Below are 17,048 nucleotides of genomic sequence, written 5' to 3' on the forward strand. Positions count from 1 at the left end.
TCTATGGAACAGAGTTGTTCAACTGGGGAAAATATTCTAACCATGTCTTCCTGCATGAAAACTTTGCCTCTGCCAGAATGGTCTGCCCCCTGCCCCCTGCACCTGCCTGCGATAGCCCCCCATCTGCAGCTTTCTCCTCCACGCCTCCCTGCATGTAATGCCTGCACCTCCCTCTGCCTGTGTGCACCCTGCCGGGCGTTGATGCAGCTCGGGCCTCCCCTCCTCCATGAGGACCCCTTCAGTCCTGGTGATCTCTTTCTTGCCTGAAATTCTTTAACACCTGCTCACTAAAGCATTTACTTGATGCTTCTTATATACTGCCTTGTAGCTATTATCTTTTTTATGTACATATGTGTGTGTTTATTTAATTAGATTGGAAGCTCCTCGAGGGCAGGGTTCATGTCTTATGTTTCTCTGTGTGCCTAGTGCTGAGAAATCATTCAATAAATGTTTCTGAATTGGTGGATCTAAGTATTCTAAGTCAATTTATTCCTCATTACTTGTGCAAGGACAGTTTTTATAATTGGGAGCACAAGGGTGGGGGTGATCATTCTCAACAGTAGTTTGATTAGTTAGATCCTGAAGTTATATAAAATTTCTCTACCTCTACTGCACCCCATCTGCCCTGGCACCCCACTTCTATCCTTTACAATTCTTATACTTTATTCCCATTATGGGTGTGTGTGGTGAGTGTATGTTTGTGTTCACTGGAATATTTGAGTCATCCCACACCACCGATTTTGAGAGCCATGTAATGTTATGCAAGATTCTTTGTATTCTCAAGAAAACCAAGTCTCTGGCCAGGGGGGATGATGCATTCCCTTTATGCTGAAATTTTCTCCTTTATGAATAAATCTATTGCCAAGTTCCCATGTTTTTCTAATGAATCTACAGATACTTGCATTTGGTTTCAGTTGTGTCTCTTGACTATTGTCTTTTAAAGTTGTCCTGAAGAAAAAGGGGGAAGGACAAGTGAATCTGATGAAGACAAGAGGAAAGCTGAAGCCAGAGTGGCCAAAATTCAGCAATGTCAAGGTACAGTGCAGGCACTTCTGGCTCCCTGGTCGTGGTGTTCTCCTGGGTGTTGGGAAAGCCTGAGTGTCATGAACAGGAGGTTATAACTACATGATTCATCCTGTGCACCTGAGGCCCACCTGGACCACCCTCCCGAGAAACTTACACTAGAAATGCTCAAATAAGATGACATTCTCTTCACTTCCACCTTAGTGATTAAAATGGATGTAAAAAATGCACATAACATATATGAAACAACAGCTGTGGGCAGTGTGGTGCAGATGAATGTTGGAATTATTTGTCTCATGGTTTAATTTTAGGTCTCAGCACTGTCATGTCAATGACTTTGGACAAGGAACCCAACAGATCTTGTCCCCAGTTTGCAAGTGTGTGAAAGAAGGAGATTAGACTAGCTCAGTGATTCTCTACTCTGGTTGGACACTGGAATCAGTTGAGAGGTCTTTAAAAATACGGATGCCTGGGCCTCACCCTCCACCGATTGAATCCGAATCTGTGGCAGGTGGGATGTAGACTTTGGGGTTTTCAGCTCTCCCAAGGTGACTTTGAAGCACAGAGGGGACTGAGAATTCCTGGATTCAATGCTAGTTAAGGTCCCTTTGAGCTTTAAGAATTCTGTAACATGTTGAAATCTGAGGACAATGATGCATGCAAAGATGGGCAAAGAAATTGGATGTTTAGAAACAAAAACTTAAACCAGTATGTTTGGTTTAGCCTGTGCCGTTCCAGGCATTTGTATTGTTCACTCATCATGGACAGGGCCGCCTCAATTTTCATTCCTAAGCTTAATGTTTAGTCTTAATAGAAAACAGCCTGAACAAACAAAGAATAGCTTTGCAAATTTTCTGGAAGTAGGGGACTGAGAAAGGAACCTTATTTACAGAAAAGACAATGGAAGCTGAGAAAGTTGTTAAGTCACTTGCTGGAGGCCACAGTCACTAAGTGGCATGGTCAGGACTGAGACCTGCATCTGCCCCACTCATCAACCTGGGTTTTCTCTTGGAGGTCTTACTGCTTGCTAATTAGCAACATCTTTTTCGTGGACTTTCACATTAGTGGTTGTATTCATGTTAGTGATAATCTTCTATGGTAAATACTATTTCATAGAAATACTCACTAACCAAGACCAACAAATTTGTGCGTATTTGGAGGAGAAGCTGCATATCTATGCTGAACTTGGAGAACTGAGCGGATTTGAGGACGTCCATCTAGAGCCCCACCTCCTTATTAAACCTGACCCAGGCGAGCCTCCCCAGGCAGCCTCATTACTGGCAGCAGCACTGAAAGAAGGTAAACTGCTGTGAGAAGGGTTTGGGTCGACACGTTCAGAAAATGTTTATTGAACACCTGCTAAGTGCCATGCACTGTGGTCTTGGTGCTGAGGATACAGCAGAACAAGACAAGGTCCTTACTCGGCTGGAACTTATATTTCTAGAAATAGCCAAATATAAAGAAAGAAATATGTCAGGTTGTATCAAGTGCTATGAAGAAAAATAAGCAGGATAAGGGAGAGAGAGGGTGATGGAGTTGGGATCGCTCTGTTTTAGATAGGGTGGCCAGGGAAGGCCTCTTTGATATAATGATATGTAAGTGGACATGAAGGAAGAAAGCTAAGTGGTATCTTGAGGGAGAGTCTTCCAGGCGTAGGGAATGGCCGGCACAAAGGTCCTGGTGCATGGAAGTGCCAGGCTCGCCTGAGGAGCAGGCAGGGGGACAGCACAGGCTGAGGGAAGGGAGGGTGGGGTGAGCAGTGCAGGCGATGAGTCCAGGGTTCACTAGGTCTCAGGTTGCATGGCGGGAGAGAAGGACTTGGAATTTCATCCTGAGTGGGATGGGAAGCATTAGAGAATTTTGAGTGGAGGAGGGACTTGACTTGTGGTTTGAAAGGTACCTCCTGACTGCTGTGTGGAGAATAGACTTAAGAGGGTGAAGTGCAGATGTTGGTAATAACAATGGGAGATGGTGGCCGAGGTTGGGTGAAGGGCAAGGTCATTGGAGATGAGAAAGTCCAGAGGATGAGAGGCCAGGGTGGTGGAAGGACTAAGTTTATAGAATTGAAAATACTGAGAATTTTGACAGGATTAGCGCTAGTGGGAGGGGGAGAACTTGTGCTGTGTGCTAACTCATTCAGGGAAGGCAAACGAGTGGCTGAAGGTCTATAGAGGAAAGGCAACAATGAGCGGTAGTGAGTGGTTGTAACCTGAGGGCAGCGGCTTCAAGGCAGAAAGGAGTTGAAGGGAGAGATGGAGATAATGGTCTGAAGTGACAGTGGGACAAAGGGCTTGGGAGATAAACCAGCCACCTCCTGAGAGAGTAGCAGGAAATGCTGTTGTACAGAAGAAGGGCTGGTAAATTACAGACCACGGACTACACACATCCCACAACCTGCTTTCGTAAGTTTAGTTTTACCGGAACTTAGCCACATCTGCTTGTTTATGTGTTGCCTCTGGCTACTTTTTCCTACAGTGGCAGAGATGAGCAGTTTTGACAGACTGTTTAGTCCACAAAACCTAAACTATTAACTGGCTCTTTGCAGAAAATGTTTGCCAGCCTCTGGTTTAGAATTTCAGAATATTAGCTCTGGAAGAGAATTTAGAAATCTTAGAATCAGCCATCTTTATTTCCCAGTTGAGGAAACTGAGGTCTTGAGAAGGGCATAGAGGTCTGAAGTAGGGTTCACTGATAGAACCCCTCATCCATCTGTTTATCAGATATCCATTGAGCATCTATCTTGTACTGTTGCTGGTGCTAGGGAGGCAGTAATGCTTTTGTAAAACTTTTAGTGAGGAAAGACAGACAATACTTACGGAAAAAAGAGAACTTTGGATAGTTATCTATCCCAAAGATAATGGGATTGTGGTAAGATGAAGGCTTTACTTCAGAGAGATTAGCCTAAAGACCTCTTTTTGAGATGAGGATTGAGAAATGAGAAGCCAGCTGTCTCAAAAGCTTGGGGAGGATCATCTTGGGCAGAGAGAAGGAAGTGCAAAGCCCCTGAGGCTGCAGTGAGCTTCACGTGTTTAAGGAAAGAAGGGAGGCCAGAGTAGCAGATGTCAGCGGGGGTCACCGTTAGATGAGGTGGTGTGGGCCAGGCAGACTGGGATCAGATCATTGTAGGCTGTGTTTAAATAATTTTAGAAGAGGATGTTATTCCAAATATGATGGAAAGCACTGGAAGCTTTTAATCATGGGTGTGGCATGATCTTATTTATGTCTTAAAACACTGGCTGCTGAATGGACAAGAGATTAGGAGACAAATCTGCCTGGAGACCTGTTAGGATGTGATCACAGAAGTTAAGATGAGCCTTGGTCTAGACCAGTGCCATTGACAATGGGAGCAGAGAGAAGAGGCCGAGGCAAGATATATTTTAGAAATAAAGTCAAGAAGAAACTTCCAAGTGGGTTGACAAGAAGCAGTGACCTCCCTCATTGTCTTTGATAAAGGCTTGATGAAATAAATCGCCCACTCTCAGTATCAGCCAGTGGCTTTAACTTTCTCCCCCACCAAAACTTTCACTAACGCTGGGTTGTACGCCCATCTGCTTCCATTCCCCTGGCACACCGTGACAGAGGTGCCGGGGCAGCGGCGGACCCAGCTGCTTAGAACCCAGAGCAATGGAGGTGCTGCGTGAGCCGCAGTTGGATAATCCACCCTGGGTCACTGACCATCCAGCCCCATTTGCAGCCGAAAGATGGAGCAGGAGTTCTTATCAGAGTGAGGGAGTTATCTTCCGACAAAAAGCCAGTTCAGTAGTGCACCTTGAATCGTCTTCCTGGGACTTCACTCTGCTGGACAGCTTTTCCTCCTTCCTTTCTTTTCTTCTGTCTCTTCCTCTTGAAACCCATCCATCCTTCCAGGTCCTGCTCAGTTTTCACCTCCTGTAAAAACATATTCCGAATCCTAATAGATAATAGAATGCTCTTCCTCCTCCATGCTGCAGTAGCATTTATAATGCTCTAATAATGCTGATGGAGATGAGTGCTGATCACATGCTTCTGTATGGTCTAGTGGGTTGTGTATGTCTCTTTCCTCCTCCAATCTGTAAACTCCCCTCTTAGTTGTCAAATGCCCAATATCCCCTAGAACAGGTGCTTATTTAAAATACAGATCCTGTTTTCTCCTCCAGAGAATCAAATCCAGTAAGTCTGGAGCCAAAGACTGGGAATCTGTATTTCTAAAGATAAGTGTAGGGAAATACTCTTTTGAGGAATAGCTAATATTTCTGGGCAACAGGTTTTAAAATTTTAATGCCTGGTATATTTATACTAACTGAATGACAGGAAGTTTTTAGGCATACCAGTTTACTGAAAGTTGCATTTGAGATATTTTAATATAATGGTTTATAGTTTTCTATTGAGTTAATTCTCTGTCGTAAAATGATGCTAAAAGTATTGGTCTAGATTGAAGATCTGCAAACTTTTCCTATAAAGGGCCAGATACTAAGTATTTTGGGTTTTGTAAATCACACAGTCTCTGGGGTGTGTGTGTGTGGTGTGCGCGCGTGCGTAGGCACATGCCCATGTTTTGACAACCTTTAAAAATGTAAAAATCATTTTTAGCCCCTGGGTCCTATAAAAACAGGGACAGGCCAAATGCGATTTGCCAATTCCTGGTCTAGATTAAATATATACCTATCTTTGTTTTTTAGATTTATTTTTGTTTTTCTCCATCTTAGCTGAGAGCCTACAAGTTGCAGTGAAGGCCTCACAGATGGGCGCCGTGAGTCAATCATGTGAGGACAGTTGTGGAGACTCTGTCTTGGCGGACACACTCAGTTCTCATGATGTACCAGGATCACCGACTGCCTGTAAGTGAAAATGCAGGCCTTGGCAATGAGCCTGAGCACAGTCCCTGGAGCTTACAGTGGTCACGTAAAGTAAAGGCAATGACTGTCTCTGGTTGAAGGGGACTTGATATATTTTTTTAAATTAGAAAAAAACTGAGAATAAATATGCTAGCCTAAATGAATATCATAGGCATATAATAATGACACTGGGGTTTCAAGTATGAGGATCTAAAGAGTAGTTGGTGGGTTATACTGCTCTGTTTGCCGGCCAAATATCGGACCTTCCCCAACCCCTACCCTGCCTCATTTTTGATATGATTTATTCATTACAGTTTTGAAAGAACTTTTTAACTTTTCAGGTTTTTTAAAAAAGGAGTCCCTGCGGTCAATTACAGAACAAGCCCTTAAACCTAATCTCATGTGCATCAACTGAGAAAACAACTCAGAAAACCAGAAATATACACACGGCTCCCTCCGTCTCCCTCCTTTCTCTCTCCCTCTCTCTTTCTCTCTCTCTCACACACACGAAGTTTGGTGGTATGGTTAAAGCAGAAGTGCCAGAAAATTCTTGATCTGTGCCATCCTACACTTTAGTTCATGTCAGAATTCATTTATGAAAACATTGTTTCAAAACATTTTAAATATAAAAAAAAATAGAATGTAGAGATTTGGTTTAGGTAATTTCCCCGAACCTAGCTATCCTGTTATATGTATAGTTGTAGGCTACTTAGTTCCATAAAGGTTTCTAAGATAAGAGCATAAAGAGTATACTTTTCATCCTGTGCAGGTGGTAACAACCTTACTTCCACAAGGTCTTATGTGCGTAAGATAAAATGGATAAAATGTCTTCAGTAGTTAGAGATCAGAAGATTAAATTGAACTCAAGATTGGAAGATTAAATTGAACTCAGAACTTCTTTAACAACATCCCTTGATTAATTAAGATATATAGATGCAGTATAGCTTTTTAATTCTATACTTCTTTTTTTTTTCTTTTTTAAACATCAGCACCACTAATTATCTTCCTCTCTCAAGTTCTGCTTTATCTAATCCTGAGTTTCTAGTTTCAGAATGCGCACGTATGTTTTTCATTTTGACACAGCCCAGATTCATCAGGGGAGTTGTACTGCCCTGGGTGATTTCCTTTTAAAAGAAGAACCTCATTATGCCATTGAGGAGTCTCTGTCTAAAAATACGTGCAGGGATCTGCTGAGGGATCTGCTGCTCTCAGCCTCGCCCCAGGGACAGCTGGAGAGGCTCCCCTCTGCAGCTGCCCGAGCCCGCGGTCGTGCCTTCCCTCCCTTCAGGCCAGGCAGTGAAGGTCTCCTTGTCTGTATCCACATCTCTCATGACTGGGGAGAGTTTCAAAGGGACACCCGTGGCATTTGCCAGAACCATTGAGAGGCTCTTTAGAGGGGTCTGATGTCGGGATTCAGGTAGAGGAAGTACCGAAGCTGGCTGGTGGGGTCCTGTACCCCAAGGCCTCTTCAGTTCTGGGTCAGACTGGAACATGGTGCTATGAGAGTTTGATTCTCTTTATAAAGTTGTTCAAGGCACAAGGCTAGTTCTAAATGAAGGTCTACAACTGTGACTGAATGGGTCGGTTCTGCAAATGACTTGGAGAACTGGGCTCTTCTTCATCAGGCTTATGTCAGCCTGAGGTTATAAGCCAAGCAGACAGCTCTATTTTCAGTCTTCAGTATACATGATGAGTATCTTCTACTTCTAGGAAAGTTCTGTTCACTGGAGACCCTCTGGCCCACCCTGAAATTGGATACAGGGACAGGGACCTGATCTGTGTTTTATTCTTCTGCCTTGTCATCAGCTTCTTTCCCATTTGATTTTCCTAATTTCTATGAGGGAGTGAGAAACAGAGTGGTGAATTCTTTAGTGATGCCTTTGGCCACTCTTTAAGAGTTAGGAATAGCACCCAATAGTAGAACCATTTTTCAAATGACAGAGAAACCTATAAAATGTCCCTCATTGTAAGTGAATAAGTGCTGATCAGCTTGAACAAAATGGACTTGTTTTTAGCTGATCTCATCTGAAGCCGTTTCCGTTTAGACAAAAACTTCTTTGTATTAGAAGAGGTCTTTGAAATCCTAGAGGACTCTCATTTTCCAAAGACATAAGTATTTTTATTAAAGAAAAAAGCATTTCCTATATTGGAAATAAAGTTTTAAAAAGACACAATAAAAATTATACAAACAAACAGTGTCATAAAGTGAATATCGATTTTGTCAGGGTCTGGATTGGACATGGTTCTAATAAAACACTGTTTTGGGCTTTGAAAATTCTAGTTTTAATCAGTGCAAGGTGGGCACAGTTTAAGTTTTAACTGAGTTCACATGGGTAAAGAAATAAAATCCTGCCAACAGAGATTTAATGGATGAAGTGAAATCTGTATTTGGTACTTAAAAATATTTCGGGACTAGTTTCTATGTTTTCATAGTTTAAATACATAGTATTTGTAAATCTAAAGCATAACAAGAAATGTGAGAAAAACAACACATTTAGAAATTGTTAAAAAATAAGTTATTCAGAGATAGGGACAGGTTCTTGGTTTGTATGACTATGAGACCGTGAAGTATTAGCCATCTCCGCCTTCCTAGAAAGATGTCTCCCTCCTGCTTCGGACTCCTCCTTCCTCCTAAACCTTGTTTATCGTCTGCTGCTCTTGCACTGGCCACAAGAGAGACTTTTTACAGACTTAAGTCTGCCAAGAGACCTTGCTTTTGTTCTACAGCACCTGTTTTAAATTTCACCCTTCCCAGGAGGCATTTTCCTATTAAGTGAGAGTGAGATGTAGATTCTACCCTCTGTAACACAAACGACACACGAACACTTCAGTGCAAGAAAGAAAAGTACAAAGATGGTGATACTTTGTGCGGTTCGTCAGTTGCTGTCTGTTAGCGTGTAAGCCCCATGTGGGCAGGGACCACATGCATTGCTCTGCGCTCATCCAAGCACCTCATCTAAGAATACTCAATATGTATTATTTTGTGGTGTTTCCTATTTTGAAATATGTGTTGGCCGTGTACAGAAGAACCCGGTGGGCTGGCCGATGTTTGACGCTGTCCTTTTTGTTTCTGTCTCGATGGCGTGCTTCCAGCATTAGTCACAGGAGGGAGAGAAGGAAGAGGCTGTTCGGATGTGGATCCCGGGATCCAGGGTGTGGTAACCGACTTGGCCGTCTCTGATGCAGGGGAGAAGGTATTGTGAACTGATTTGTTAGTAAACGGCAGCGGTTACTGTGTATAATAAAATAGCCTCAGGTTCTGGTCTGTCACGGCAGTCAGTGGGGCAAAGGTGCTTTTCTGAATTGTTCTCAATTGATTTAAATATTCATATTTAAACTTTCTAACTTATTTCTTCTTCAAATGTGCTTGCACTGCCTGTGTCATGTAGGTGTAAACAAAGCAACGATTGAAAAGTTATTAAAAAGATTAAAAACTCTCCTGTGTATATGTGTGTCTGTGCTCTCTGACTTCTGGTCTTTCTGCCCTGCAAACCTTTGCTTCTCACCCACTATGTCTGGCAGCTCTGGCACCCGGGGGCCCTTTTGCAACCAGATGGCGCCAAAGTAATTGAAACACCTTTTACTTTGGAATATTCTTGCTTCTTTCACCTTCCTTGACCCTCCTCTCCTTGCAGAGTTGATTTCCTGTCACCACCCACATTTCACCTACTTTTTTTGTGGTTAATTTTTAATTAATCTGACCAGTTTTTGCTTGGGGCACAGCGATTCCCAAAGGGAATCCTCTTTTTTGACTTACTGCTATAGACATAGATATTAACTCTCTCTTTAAGAATTAAATACATAAAACTTCCTATTAATGTCTACTGAAAGTGAGATGTCAGAAATAGGGAAGGAATAAAATATGATTCTGGGAGGTGGCTAGTTGGCCTCTTCCTGCTTGTCAGGGCTCCAGAGTTTAGCTTTATCTAAAATTGAATTAGGTACATTAATAGGTGCCAATATGTGTCAATGTGAAAAAATGGCAAATGTCAGATCTTCTCACATATACAACATATTTTACATATTATATACTTTTTGTGTATATTACATAAGACTGAGAAATCAAGTCAAGGACTTTTAAAATCCAGAGAAAAGACAGCTGTGACTGAGTGTTCTTTTTTAAACTTCAGAGGCCAAAATGAGCATAGGAATGTAATATTTTACTCCTTCTGATTGTAAGCTTTCTAATGTATTGCTTCTTAAAATGTTCCTGCTTTTCATCACTTTTAAGTGTGAAGTTTGTGGTGTCCAACTGTGTTAATAGAAAAGAGAGAGTGAATTGGACAGTAATAATTTAATCTTGAACGCAAAGTTGGGTGGCTCCTACCCCTAAAGTCTCCCTCTTCCACTCCAATTCAGCTACAGGTAGATAATTGAGGTTAAGTGTCTGGGTTCTTCTTTGGATTAAGCTATCTGCAAAATTTTTTGCTTAATAAGGCATTTTGAAAGATTAATACATTAATAAACCCAGGTAAAGGGCAGGATCACTTGAAATCAAACTTTTAAAAGGTGTATAATGGATATTTTGTCATTAGCTTCCTCTACAAGGTAAGGTTAGAACAAATTTCTGAAAGAATATTAAAAAATGAAATCTGACTCAAATGCAGAAATAATGGATAAATCGCCAACTGCAGTTTTAAACATTTACCACAAGGTGGCAGAACAACTCCATTAAAAACGCGAAATTTCCTGTCTTGTGTCAAACCTAGTGGCTTTTGGGCATAAGTAACCGCGGGTAGCACAGTCCAACTCATTTCTATGGTTCTAATTTTTATAGACTATAAAAACTCTGTGCCATATGGTCTTACTACAGAAGCAGTGGAGTGTGGATGGGCCACGACAGAGCCAGAAGAGCAGCGAGAACGCCAACCATCCCTCTAGGGCGGGGGTTCTTAGAGCCTGTTCTCTCCCATAGGGTTTGGCACAGATCTAATGTCTTTAAGCTTCATCTCCATTTTCAGCCTCTGTCTTTTCTCTATCAGAGGGGCTGCTTACGAGTGAAATCTTTAATTGGCAGTCCAAGGGAAGCGGAGGTCTGGCTAGCTCATCCTGGCATCATCAGCCTAAACTAATTGAATTTAACAAGTTCAAAATTACCCGAGGACATGACCATGGCTGGCTGCTTTTTATGGCTTAAAATTAGATGAGACAGTAGGCCCTTGAGGACAGGGCATCTGATGGTCTCCCATAGCGTAAGGTGTGAAGTTTACAGTGGGTGATCGATATTTATTTATTGAATGGCGTGCCATCGAGTTCAACTGGGAGTCATTCACTTGTTGAGTGTCCGTGCTATGTCAAGCATCATTCTTATAATATGGAGCACATGGACAAAGTCTCGCTACTCACTGGTTTGCATCCTAGGGAGAGAAGGCCGACAATAAATGAATAAACAAGTGTTCAATTATGGAGGCTGCAAACCATCACTATCCACGTGTGCCCTTAATGTGTGCTGTGGAAGAGACAAAGAACAAGGCATAGACCCTCTCCCTAAAGAACAGACGGTCTCCTGTGGCTGGTTCGTGGCCTCTGCTGCTAGTACTTCTACTATGGCAGTCACTGGTCTGGTGATCTCTGACTGTGGTGGGATCTAGAGCAGCCCAGCTACGCGCGCCACTATGGCCACCGTCTGAGTCTGGTTTCTTTTCCCAACTGCTGTATATGTTGATATCGTGAATCTCAAACATTGAGAAAAGGAGTTAAGGCCAGACATGATATTCTTTCTTTAACTTTCAATCTGTCCTCTAGAATATAAGAGGTCAGCCTGACCCAAAAGACAACTTCAGTCTGGGCACAGAGAACTCAATTCACATTGTGGTTTGCACAAGGTAAATGTTGTTACTTGAGTTTTCAGGGTGTCCTTACTGTCATCCCTTGTTGTTTTAAGGGGTGATTGGGTGAAAATTGCCATCCATCTCAAACATCGACTTTGCGTGAAGGACGCTCTTGTTGTCAAGTGTTTGTTTGATTCTATAGGCTTTTATTTCTGGGAGGAAACTGAGTCAGTATAGATAAGGTAATCAAGTTTAGAGATAGCAAAGTGATTTACCCAAGGTCATACATTTTGGGACACTGCAGGGCAGCTTTTCAGAAGTAGAATGGTTATTCATTTTCTTGTTTTTTATGTATTTTAGGTGGAATGTAGAAATTTTCCAGGTTCTTCACAATCAGAGGTGAGCTGCTGCACATACCTTAAATGTATCACCAGCCTTTATTTGTGGATAATGAAAGCTTTTTCAAGAATTTGACACTTACAATTTTGTTTTTCAGATTATACAAGCCATACAGAATTTAACCCGTCTCTTATACAGCCTTCAGGTAACTATCCTCCTCTAATCTTTGACCTTGTGAATGGTTCTCTTAATGCAATTCTCTTTGATGATTCCCAGACTTTAAAAATGAGAACAAGTGAGAGGTAGGGAATGATCTTAAAAGAATGACAACCTTCTAAGTGTGATGTGTTGGACTCACATGGTTTTGTAATCAGAGGCAACACCATGACTACATTTTATACCATTCTTCTCTGAAATCATAAAACAGTTCATATCTTTAAAAAATATTGATGAATATGATCTGGCTTGACATTTACAATGAAACTCTTAGGTGAGTGTAGCATGACTTCACATTTTCTGATGAAAACCTAAATTCACACCTAAAATTCTTTGACTTCTCCATGTGGCCATCAGCCTTTAGAGCAGTTAAGTAATCCATATGTTGCTTTACTCTTTTGTTTGTTCATCCACTCAACATTTATTAATTTATTAATGTTGAGGGGATGAACACACAGTGCCTGTCTCTGTGCTGACTGTGCTGAGGGCTGAGCACACAAAGGCAAATTAGCCACACAGCCTGCTCTCAAATAGCTTACTGCCTTTCAAGGAAGAGCAGACATAAAAAAGAAATCATGCTTGCATTTAGGATTAAATGGTTGGATGATCCCTTAGGCTGGGGTCCCCAAACCCCAGGGTGCAGAGTGTTACCTGTCTGGGCTGCACAGCAGGAGGTGAGCTGGGGGCAAGCGAGCAGTACCACCTGAACTCCGCCTCCTGTGAGATCAGTGGCAGCATTAGATTCTTATAGGAGCGTGAACCCTATTGTGAACTGTGCATGCAATCTAGGGATCTAGGTTGCCCCCTCCTTATGAGAATCTAATGCTTGATGATCTGAGGTGGTACGCTTTCATCCTGAAACCATTCTCACCACATCCCAGCCCATCCATTAAAAAAAAAAAAAAAACTGTCTTCCACAAAACAGGTCCCTGATGTCAAAAAGGTTGGAGACCACTACCTTAGACCATGCAAAGAAAGAGGCTCAGTGTGTCCGATGGCTTAATTTACTCATTAAAATGTATCTCGAAAGGATATACATGCAATGTTTGGATTGTTGAAAAATTTGTAGAAAAATTTGAGAATACAAGTAAATGAAAGAAAATGATTTCTGATTCTACAAAGAGAATTAAAATTATCATGTTGGTGTATAAGGCTCCAGATTTTAGAATTGTTCTCTGTGCACTCTTCTGTAACATGTAACTTTCTCTGTCATCAACTATTATTCTATTGCATACTTTTTAATGATTATATATTAAATTCAACTCTGTGGGGTTTATTCAATCCCTTATTGTTTACACTTTTGTATTATTAACAACACTGTAGAGGACATCCTTGTGTACTCATCTCTTTGAATACATCTGACTATTTCCTTAGGGTAAATGAGAAGAATTATTTTGTTTAGGTTTTCAATAGACTTTGCCAAAATAATCAAATCAACCACCATTCTCTCTTTTTCTTCCATTTGAAGATGGATTAGGGTATCTGATTATTTTATTTGTACTTCTTTGATTACTACTGAGACAAAACATTTTTCCCTCACTGGTTTATTATTCATTCATGCTTCATATCTTGTTGAATTTAAAAGAAAATAAAATGAAGCCTAAGTTTTCAGCAGAAAATATAAAGGCATGCTGCATTCGATGTTTTGTTATTTAGACTTCGACTCTATCAAGACTTCTTTCTCTTATGACCTTTTATTCTTGCTCTAGGACCAACATCTGAATTGTTAAAGCCTTGGATTACATTTGAGTATATGACAGTGCTCATCTTATTTATTTTTCTATGCATATTTATATATCCTTCCACAAGAGCTTTTATTTTTTTATTTATTTATTTTTTTGAGACAGGGTCTGGCTCTGTTACCCAGGCTGGAGTGCAGTGGCACGATCTCAACTCACTGCAACCTCTGTCTCCCAGGCTGAAGCCATTCTGCCACCTCAGCCTCCCAAGGAGCTGAGACTATAGGCGTGTGCCACCAAGCCTGGCTAGTTTTTCTATTTCACCATGTTGCCCAGGCTGCAGTCTAACTCCTGGGCTCAAAGTGATCTACCTGCCTTGGCCTCCCAAAGTTCTGGGATTACAGGCATGAGTCACTGCACCCAGCCCCACAAGAGCTCTTAAACAAGTTTCTTATCTCTTGCCAACATCATTAAGTTAAAATTTCATTATATTTTTGAAATAAATTGGAGAGAATCAACACCTTTACCATAATCACTTACTTGTCTTATAAAAGAACATCGGTCAGTCATCTCTTATTCTATGATTTGCTGGAGAGCTTTGTAATTGTCTTCATATGGTATGATATGCGTGTATATGTATTTTTTTCACTAAGTTTATTCATATGTCTCTTTGCTGCTATTGTGAATAATTTTTTTTTTCATTTTGTGTCCCCAGTGGTTGTTGCTAATATAAATAAAGGTATTGATTTTGGGGTACTTATATTGTAACTGGTAAACTCATTGAACTTTATTTTTCATTTTAATAGTTTTTCCATTGATATTTTGAAGTATTCCAGGTAGAAAATAAAAATTAGAAAATAATGATATTATGGCTATTTGTCAATAATTACATGAATTTCATTTTCTTGGCTTACTGCTTAGGCTAGGACTTTTGAAAATGTGTTAAATCACAGTGGTAATAGCAAGCTCTTTGTCTTGTTCAAGATTTAGTGAGAATGCTTTTAGTGTCTTAGGTTAGATGTGAGGTTCTGGAGTTGATGTTCTTAGCAATCAATGTATCATGTAAGACAACTAATCTTTCTTTTAAATGTCAGCTGGGAAGGGATACAGTTTGAGCACCAGCCATTAACTTGGGGGATGAAAACATTGAGCATCCTGGCTAGTGTTGCCGGATGAAAACACTCACAAGGTCATGTGTCTTCTTTTCAACCCTGAATGCAGCCCTGTGTAGATTCAAGGTTCGGAAAAGCTGGATCACCTGAATGACCTAATTTTTGCAACACATTAGGTTAAACCAACATGGGAAATATCAAAGTCTACAGTGAATTATTTTAATCTGAGCTGGTCCAAGGCCATGGGCTTTGAAAGATTTCTGTTCATGGCACAGTCGTCTTTTTTGAAGCTGAATGTCTTATATGTGACTGAAGTTTTTACATAAACAATTTTGAATCAGGTGGAATGAAATTTGATCCCTATATCAGGAAAATAGAGTTAGAAATGAGGCATAGACAGGGCTAAAAGGAAAAGACACAGATATTCTAGCAAAGTAAAGTTAAGAGAGTGAATTGGGAATTTCCCTAAACTTGAAAAGCAAGTGCTGTTCTCTGTCCTAAATATAAATGTAAACTTTAAGTGTGAAGATTATTCATTTAGCTTTAAATGAATATTTAAATTTAGATGAATATCCGATCTTCAGATTCCAGCTCTATGCAAGGGAAAAGAATGGCCTTATCCCAAATGTTAGATAGACATGAAGAATACCTCACAGAAGCACTTAATTACTGTAGCTGTAACTCTTACGTGAGAGTTATTGTCTGTGGTAGTTTTGACATATAAAGTATGGGATTTTTGTTTGTCTTACCATACTGGTCCCTAAAGATTTATTAGAATTAAGTGGTGATGTATAGTCTACAATTTTCTTTAGCCAGATCAACAGAGTCCTGAGTGGCTTATTGTGTGCTAATTATTTCATATTTAAAGATCATAGTAATTAATACCTATTCTGGATGATAATCATTGTTTTATTTATAACAACTCCCAAAAGCCACTAAATATTCATGTGTCTGAAATTTTAAAGATTAGTTTCCAAATTTAAAAATATGAATTTTTGTTCAAAAGGCCCCAGTGAATACATTTTTGAGTCGTATTCCAAGACAAGTATGAATTTAAAATATACCTTAGTTCTTTAACTTTCAAAAGTATAGGAAACTGCTGAGCTGACAAAGAACATATGGTCAAATCCCCATCTTCCCAACATCTGTTATATGGACAGTTTAAAAAATTCTTAGGAAGGAAAAATGTGAATTTATCCCTAGGAGAGAAATGATTTCTCATATGGGGTCAAAACATACACACATACTCAGTATGTGTCCATTTTCAATTTGTCCCTTCTGTACTGCTTTGCACTCTAAATGGGAACTTTTAAAATTAAAAGCTTCCAAGGGCATTCACAGAGATCTCTTTGGTTTTGTGGAATCCTTCCAAATCTTGGTAATTATTTCCTGTGATGTTGCCAAACTTTTCATAGGCAGATACCGTAACTCAAAATGTTTTTTTAATCTGGTTGGTAATGTCCTCTGGGCTTTAGAGTATCTATTTTCCCTTAATCATTTCAGCCTCCTGTTAGCGATCTATTAAACAAATAAATTTCAGCTTAGTTTTTTGTGCATGACCTTCCTGCTATAATACAAAGATATAACAGTAATGAGACTAGCTTTAGCCACTTACATATCTCCTAAAAATGGTATTAACTGCTATTCTTAGGCATTATGTTATAAAAACATTATTTACCTAAAGTCTCCAAATAGTTGTTTTTTATTTTTATGTCTTCATAATGCAATGTAGCTCAAGTAATTTCTGGTTTGGGACTCAAAGGAAGGATACTACTAGGTTTATGTGGATTCTTAAGTTCTCATGAATGATTGACTAGGGAGAGACCTCAGCAAGAGAGTGAGATGTAGGACAGGAATGCACAGCCTTGTGAATTTATGTGCCGAGTTCGTATTCAGAAGACTCGCTTAACTATCACCCAACCACCAGCAGCAAACTACCTTCCCACAGGAGAGGATGATATTGCTTTTGGGCTTTGTTTCTTTTCTCTATAAATTCACAGGTCCTACCCCTAGGACAGATGTAGACACACCTCTCTGGAACGCCAAAAACCTTGCCTTTGGAGGTAACTTAGAAAAAGGCCAGAAATATTAAGA

At 40.4% G+C, this 17,048-nt stretch overlaps 1 protein-coding gene across 5 annotated transcripts in view; it reads left to right on the plus strand.

The window, feature by feature from the left end:
- ARHGEF28 (Rho guanine nucleotide exchange factor 28) overlaps positions 1 to 17,048 on the plus strand; it is a 315,795-nt gene that overhangs the window by 266,058 nt on the left and 32,689 nt on the right. For all 5 annotated transcript variants that reach the window (NM_001080479.3, NM_001177693.2, NM_001388076.1 and 2 more), the window contains 6 exons: positions 944 to 1,035; positions 2,140 to 2,322; positions 5,709 to 5,840; positions 8,931 to 9,031; positions 11,969 to 12,007; positions 12,105 to 12,152. In NM_001080479.3, the coding sequence (NP_001073948.2) occupies positions 944 to 1,035; positions 2,140 to 2,322; positions 5,709 to 5,840; positions 8,931 to 9,031; positions 11,969 to 12,007; positions 12,105 to 12,152 (595 nt within the window). The remainder of the gene's footprint in view (positions 1 to 943; positions 1,036 to 2,139; positions 2,323 to 5,708; positions 5,841 to 8,930; positions 9,032 to 11,968; positions 12,008 to 12,104; positions 12,153 to 17,048) is intronic.

Source organism: Homo sapiens, chromosome 5 (assembly GCF_000001405.40).
Source record: "Homo sapiens chromosome 5, GRCh38.p14 Primary Assembly".
Classification (NCBI taxonomy): Eukaryota; Metazoa; Chordata; class Mammalia; order Primates; family Hominidae; genus Homo; species Homo sapiens.